General features: G+C 38.3%; 1 annotated feature.

Annotated features, from left to right (window-relative positions):
- Positions 336–888: an enhancer, noted in NCBI's record as "OCT4-NANOG hESC enhancer chr4:120695886-120696438 (GRCh37/hg19 assembly coordinates)". NCBI's record gives its function as "activates a minimal SCP1, AML or CMV promoter by ChIP-STARR-seq in primed H9 embryonic stem cells {active_cell/tissue: H9 hESC(primed)}" and the evidence as "EXISTENCE:reporter gene assay evidence [ECO:0000049][PMID:30033119]".

A 7,067-nucleotide genomic window follows, 5' to 3' on the forward strand; every position in this document is an offset into this window, starting at 1 on the left:
TTTCAGCTGTTCAAGATTACAACTATTATCTAGACTAGTATTTTTAAATACTTATCATTTCTTAAAGACTCACCTCGGGCGTTTGGTAACATAATCCAGACCTCCTTCTGGAGACTTGGATTCAGTGGGTTTGGAATGGGACCTTGGATCTTATTTTTTTTAACTGGAACCCTAGCTCCTTGCTACTCAAAATATAGACAATGTACCAGCAGCACTGGTATTATTGGGAGCTTGTCAGAAATGCTTTTAGGTATGCCAAGAATGCAAGACTGTTACCGGAAAGGGGTCCTGATCCAGACCCCAAGAGGGGCTTCTTGGATCTCACACAAGAAATAATTCAGGGCGAGCCTGTAGAGTAAAATGAAAGTGAAGCAGCATTGTTTGGGGTAAATACTCAAGGTTTGTCTCCTCACTCCAAGGAAATCAAGTACGCAGACATACAAGAAGTGGGTTTAGGGGCAGAGGTTTAATAGGAAAAAGAAAGATAAAGGAAAATAGCAAAGTGCACCGTATTTTATAGACTGACTTAAGGAGGTAGTGTCTGATTTACATAGGGACCAAAGATTGGTTGGACCAGGTGTGACATTTACATAGCACCCAAGGAAGATGGCTGCCCCACCCTAATCTTCTATTATGCAAATGGAGTCTTTGCCTGGCCAGCAGCATGTTGCCTGCTCCTTACTGTACGAATGGTTTGGAAGGAAAAGGGAAGATGGAGCCACTATGTTGAACATGCCTAGCCCCCAGGTAGCCTTTTCCTATTGTTTTAGCTGCTGGCATTCACCCCTGCAAGCTTCCAGCTTGCTTATCTATGTTTGCAGCTCAATTTTACAGGCTGCTTTTTGTTAGAAAATAAATAATTTGGGGGCTGTTTTTTACTAAAAGGGAAATCTTACGGAGGACTTCCTTATCCTTACTATTGGCCTAAATAATTTCTTTTTAATTCCTATATCAAAAGCAAGTTTATTAGGAAAGTAAAGGAATAAAGAATGGCTACTCCATAGACAGAGCAGCCCCGAAGGCTGCCGGTTGCCCATTTTTATGGTTATTTATTGATGATATGCTAAACAAAATGTTGATTATTCATGCCTCCCCTTTTTAGACCACATAGGTAATGTCCTGCATTGCCATGGCATTTGGAAACAGTCATGGCGCTGGTGGGAGTGTAGCAGTGAGGACAACCAGAGGTCACTCTCATGGCCATCTTGGTTTTGGTGGGTTTTGGCCAGCTTCTTTACTGCAACCTGTTTTATCAGCAAGGTCTTTATGATCTGTATCTTGTGCTGACCTCCTATCTCATCCTGTGTCTTAGAATGTCTTAACTATATGGGAATGCAGCCCAGTAGGTCTCAGCCCTGTTTTACCCAGCCCCTATTCAAAATGGAGTTGCTCTGGTTCAAATGCCTCTGAGAAGACCATCAGTACTCTTCACCTGAGACACTTCTTAGGATTTTATTTTCCAGAGCAACCTTGAGAAATGAAGTCATGTTCCTCCTGGAACAAAGAGGCACATTTGCTTATCTCTCGCTATAAAGTGGTAGGTTCTCCAAGACCAGAGTTTTTTTTTTTTAATTTTTTTTTCTGTAATATAACGTACAGCACAGGCAAGCATCCTCCTAGACCCTCCTTCACATTTTTCCTGTGGGCTTGCGCAGGGGAGCTGATGCACATACAGCTTGCTGTCCTGTGAGAAAAAAAGGCCTTTATTTCTGACCCAGGAATACCACGTATTCCACCAGTATTACATGAAATAGTTTCAGCAAAATTTATTTTTTTCTTGAAACAAATAAATGAATATATGCATGAATTTAGAAATAGACAAAGAGATGAAACAAGTTCCATATTTGTGGACATAGGTAATTGTGATGGTTAATACTGAGTGTCAACTTGATTGGATTGAAGGATACAAAGTATTGATCCTGGGTGTGTCTGTGAGGGTGTTGCCAAAGGAGATTAACATTTGAGTCAGTGGGGTAGGAAAGGCAGATCCACACTTAATCTGGGTGAGCACAATTTAGTCAGTTGCCAGTGCGGCTAGAATATAAGCAGGCAAAAAACCTAGCCTCCCAGCCTACATCTTTCTCCTGTGCTGGATGCTTCCTGCCCTCAAACATTGAACTACAAGTTCTTCAGTTTTGGAACTCAAACTGGCTCTCCTTGCTCCACAGCCTGCAGACGGCCTATTGTGGAACCTTGTGATCACATGAGTTAATGCTTAATAAACTCACCTTTATACATATATCTAGTCCATTAGTTCTGTCCCTCTAGAAAACCCTGACTAATACAGTAATGTTCCTTACCTCTGCGAGAAAAAGTACCTAAATAATATTAACCATCCATTATCATCATCCTATTTGTCATTGTCATCATCAACAATATGTTGTTTTGATAAAATGGTTCATTTTCTTTGTTTTTAATTTATAAAGAAAAGAGGTCTCATTGTCTCACATTTCTGCAGGCTTTATGGGAAGCATGTTGCTGCAACTGCTTGGCTTCTAGGGAGGCTTCAGGAAGGTTACAGTCATGACAGAAGGTGAAGGGGGAGCAGGCACATCACATGGTGAAAGCAGGAGCAAGAGAGTGGCAGGGAGGTGCTATACACTTTTAAATGACCAGATCTCATGAGAACTCACTCACCATCACAAAGGCAGCACTAAGGCATGTGGGATCTGCCCCCATGATCCAAACACCTTCCACCAGGCCCCATCTCCAGCACTGGAGATTACAATTCAACATGAGATTTGTGGGGGGATAAATATCCAAACTATATCACATGTTATATAGCAAATAATACCTATTTTCATATATTTGCAATAAGAAAAACCTCTATCATGAGTTGATATGCTTTAAGTAGCACCTAATGCTTACTAAGGCTTTGCTTAGATGCTTACTATTATACATGAGGGTCTTGACTCTACATAGGTACTAATTAAGAATCAATCTGTCTGCTCTGTTTCTTGCCATACAGTTATTTGTCCAATGTTTTCTTCAGTCCATTTTTCTAGCCCACGGATAGAATAACAGCATTGTGAACAAATGTGAGCCTTTAATTCTAAGAAAAAGGCTTTGCCTCCACGTTCTGGAGGAGGTATTTTGTTTGTCCATTTGCTTGTTTTCATTTTGAAGGTGTCAGGGCTGCAGTTTTCTTCCTTTGAGAAGAAGCTGGTAAAGAAGCAGAAATTCAGTGTGCCACAAAATTAGTACACAGGCAGAACGGTCCAAGGCCAGCAAACTGAAAGCAATAAAAAAATGTAATCTCAGCTTATGGCCTATGAGCATAATTTAGAAAAGAAAATCCATTATGAAAAATGAAATTCCTTTTTTTTAACTTTTAAGTTCAAGGGTACAAGTGCAGGTTTGTTACATAGGTAAACTTGTGTTATGGGGGTTTGTTGTGTAGATTATTTCATCACCCAGGTATTAAGTCTAGTACCCATTAGTTGTTTTTCTTGATCGTCTTCCTCCTTCCACCCTCCAGCCTCCAAAAGGCCCCAGTGTGTGTTGTTCCCCTCTATTCGTCCGTGTTTTCTCATCATTTAGCTCCCACTTATAAGTGAGAATATGTGGTGTTTGGTTTTCTGTTCCTGCATTAATTTGCTAAGGATAATGGCCTCCAGCTCCATCCATGTCCCTGCAAAAATCAAGATACTGTTCTTTTTTATGGCAGCATAGTATTCCATGGTGTATATGTACCACGTTTTCTTTATCCAGTCTATCACTGATGGGCATTTAGGTTGATTGTATGTCTTTGCTATTGTGAATACTGCTGCAATGACCATACATGTGCACGTGACTTTATAATGTGACTTTGGGTATATACCCAGTAATGGGATTGCTGAATTGAATGGTATTTCTGCCTCTAGGTTTGTGACAAATCGCCACACTGTCTTCCACAATGGCTGAATTAATTTACACTCCCACCAACAGTGTATAAGCATTCCTTTTTCTCCACAACCTCGCCAGCATCTGTTATTTTATGATTTTTTAAATAATAGCCATCTAACTGGTGCGAGATAGTATCTCATTGTGGTTTTGATTTGCATTTCTCTAATGATCAGTGATGTTGAGCTTTCTTTCATATGCTTGTTGGTTGCATGTATGTCTTCTTTTGAAAAGTGTCAGTTTATGTCCTTTGTCCACATTTTTATGGGGTTGTTTGCTTTTTTCTTGAAAATTTTTTTAAGTTTCTTATATATATGTAAATTCCTTATACATTCCTTGCAGATGCTGGATATTAGACCTTTGTCGGATGCATAGTTTGCAAAAATTGTCTTCCATTCTGTAGGTTGTCTGTTTACTCTGTTGATATATATATATGTATATATATATGTATATATATGTATATACATATACATATATATATATTGCTGTGCAGAAGCTCTTCAGTTTAATTAGATTTTTTGTCAATTTTTACTTTTGTTGCAATTGCTTTTGGTGTCTTCATCATCAAATATTTCCCCATGCCTCTGTCCTGAATGGTATTGCCCAGGTCGTCTTCCAAGGTTTTTATAGTGTTGGGTTTTACACTTAGATCTTTAATGCATTTGAGTTAATTTTTGTATATGGTGTAAGAAATGGGTACAGTTTCAATCTTGTGCATGTGGCTAGCCAGTTATCTCAGCCCCATTTATTGACTAGGGAATCCTTTCTCCATTCTTTTTTTTTGTCAGATTTGTTGAAGATAAGATAGTTGTAGGTGTGTGGTCTTATTTCTGGGTTCTCTATTCTGTTCCATTGTTCTATGTGTCTGTTCTTGTACCAGTATCATCTTGTTTTGGTTACCACAGCCCTGTAGTATAGTTTGAAGTCAGATAGTGTGATACCTCTAGCTTTGTTCTTTTTGCTTAAAATTGCCTTGGCTATTTGGGTTCCTTTTTGATTCCATGTAAATTTTAATATAGTATTTTTCTAGTTCTGTGAAGAATGCCAGTGGTAGTTTAATGGGAATAGCATTGAATCTATAAATTACTTTGGGCAGTATGTCTATTCTAAAGATATTGATTCTTCCTATCCATAAGCATGGAATATTTTTCCATATATTTGTGTCATCTCTGATTTCTTTGAGCAGTGGTTTGTAGTTCTCTTTGTAGAGATCTTTCACCTTCCTTGTTCGTTGTATTCCTGGGTATTTTCTTCTTTTTGTGGCAATTGTGAATGGGAGTTTATCCTTGATTTGGCTCTTGGCTTGACTGTTGGTGGTGTGTAGGAATGCTAGTGGTTTTGCACATTGATTTTTTATCCTGAGACCCTTCTGAAGTTGTTTATCAGCTTAAGAAGCTTTTGGGCTGAGACTATGGGGTTTTCTAGATATAGGATCATGTCATCTGCAAACAGGGATAGTTTGACTCCCTCTCTTCTAATTTAATGCCCTTCTTTCTTTCTCTTGCCAGATTGCCCTGGCCAGAACTTCCAATACTATGTTGAGTAGGAGTGGTGAGAGAAGGCATCCTTGAATGGTTTATTTTCTTCTCTTTAAAGAATCTTTATATTATAAAGCCAAATGCATATTATGCATATTATGAAGTTAGTCAGCAGCCTTTATTAGCTACACTAATTCATGTATGGCTTGTCATTTTATATTTTTGGATGGTTTTTCCATTTTATCTCTTTGAACAGTTAATCCTTATAATAATGTGCTGATAACGTATAAGAGGGTGATTCACAATTAGAGATCAGTGACATCTGCTTTCCAGGGTTGTCAGTGCACCCAGAGTACTCTGTCACACTATCACACTACTGCTGTCAGGGAGACCCTGCTGGGATAGGCTGCTCTAGCAGTAGGCCACCCATCTAAATCACACACATGGATGGTTTCCTCATGCTTGGGGCTAAATCAGGGAGAGAAATTGGAGTTCAAGAAAGGTGATGTCTCAGTTAACCTTCACTGCCCTACAACAAGATAGTTTGGAAAGGATGGAAGAGGTAAAGACCATCTGGGTTTAGCCCACTTCTCTCTTATTTATTTCTTCCCTCCTTCCACCCTCAGCTCTAGCCTTGAGTTTATTTATGTATCCTGTTACAGGGTTATTCTTATACAAAAAATAAAAAGGGAAGTAGAGCAATTAAACAGAGCATTTGATCAAGGAACATAATCTGAAATCTCTCTTTATTGTCAATAATAGAATTTTGCTTCCCATTAATAACCTGAATAAATGTGCCAGGTCTTCACCTTTTCAGACACAGATAAAAAAGCGTAGACATTTAATGGACTTAGGAGGAGTCCAACTGTGAACCCTGACACCAGCCTACTTAGTGTGTTTCCTCAAGAAACAATTGTGCTCAATATTTTCAATAGAAGAATGCTTCATAGGTTTTGAAATTAAAAAGACAAAATCTTTAGCTATTTTTAGGAAATATCCTTTATGGTTTTGTTGTTTGATGTAGAAATAGTAAAGGAGTTAAGTTTCCTTTAAAAGGTCTTTAAGTTGCCATTGGAAAGATGGGTGTGTTTGAAAAATGTAACAAAGTGCATTTGGGAAATTTAGATTCCATCCTGTGAAGAGGCAGGATGAAAGAAGGACAAGTATTTTCCAGACTACAATGAACATGAAATGGTTTCAATGATCAGAGGGGATTTTTAATTGACTAAGAGAATGTCATGTAATCAAAATTTATTTTTAATAGTGTTTGGTGAAGGAAATTCTTTTTTAAGTTAAATAATCATGGAGATAATTGCAACAAAAAATAAGGGTTGATCTATATAATCCTTCCAAGTACAGTATAGAGCAAATAAAAAGATGGGGGACCCCCAAAAACAAACCTCCAAAAAGTGAAAAACTGCATTACACCTTATAGAGAAACCAGAGACTGCAGGCAGAACAGGAAGAGAAATTGAAAGCTGTGTACCACACAAATAAAGCCACCACTTCTTACATGATGAGCAGCTGTAGCATGAATTTACAGCACACATTGGATGGGAGGAAAGCTCATTACCTTCTATACAACTAAGAGCAAATCCAAGAGCTGCAGGAATTGTTTATGGAGAATCTCTAAATAAAGCAGAAACTTAGAACAACTGTAGTTGGAGAACCTAAGAATATTTGATGTTGATTTCAATTCTGATAAAA

The sequence above is a fragment of the Homo sapiens genome, chromosome 4, assembly GCF_000001405.40.
Source record: "Homo sapiens chromosome 4, GRCh38.p14 Primary Assembly".
Classification (NCBI taxonomy): Eukaryota; Metazoa; Chordata; class Mammalia; order Primates; family Hominidae; genus Homo; species Homo sapiens.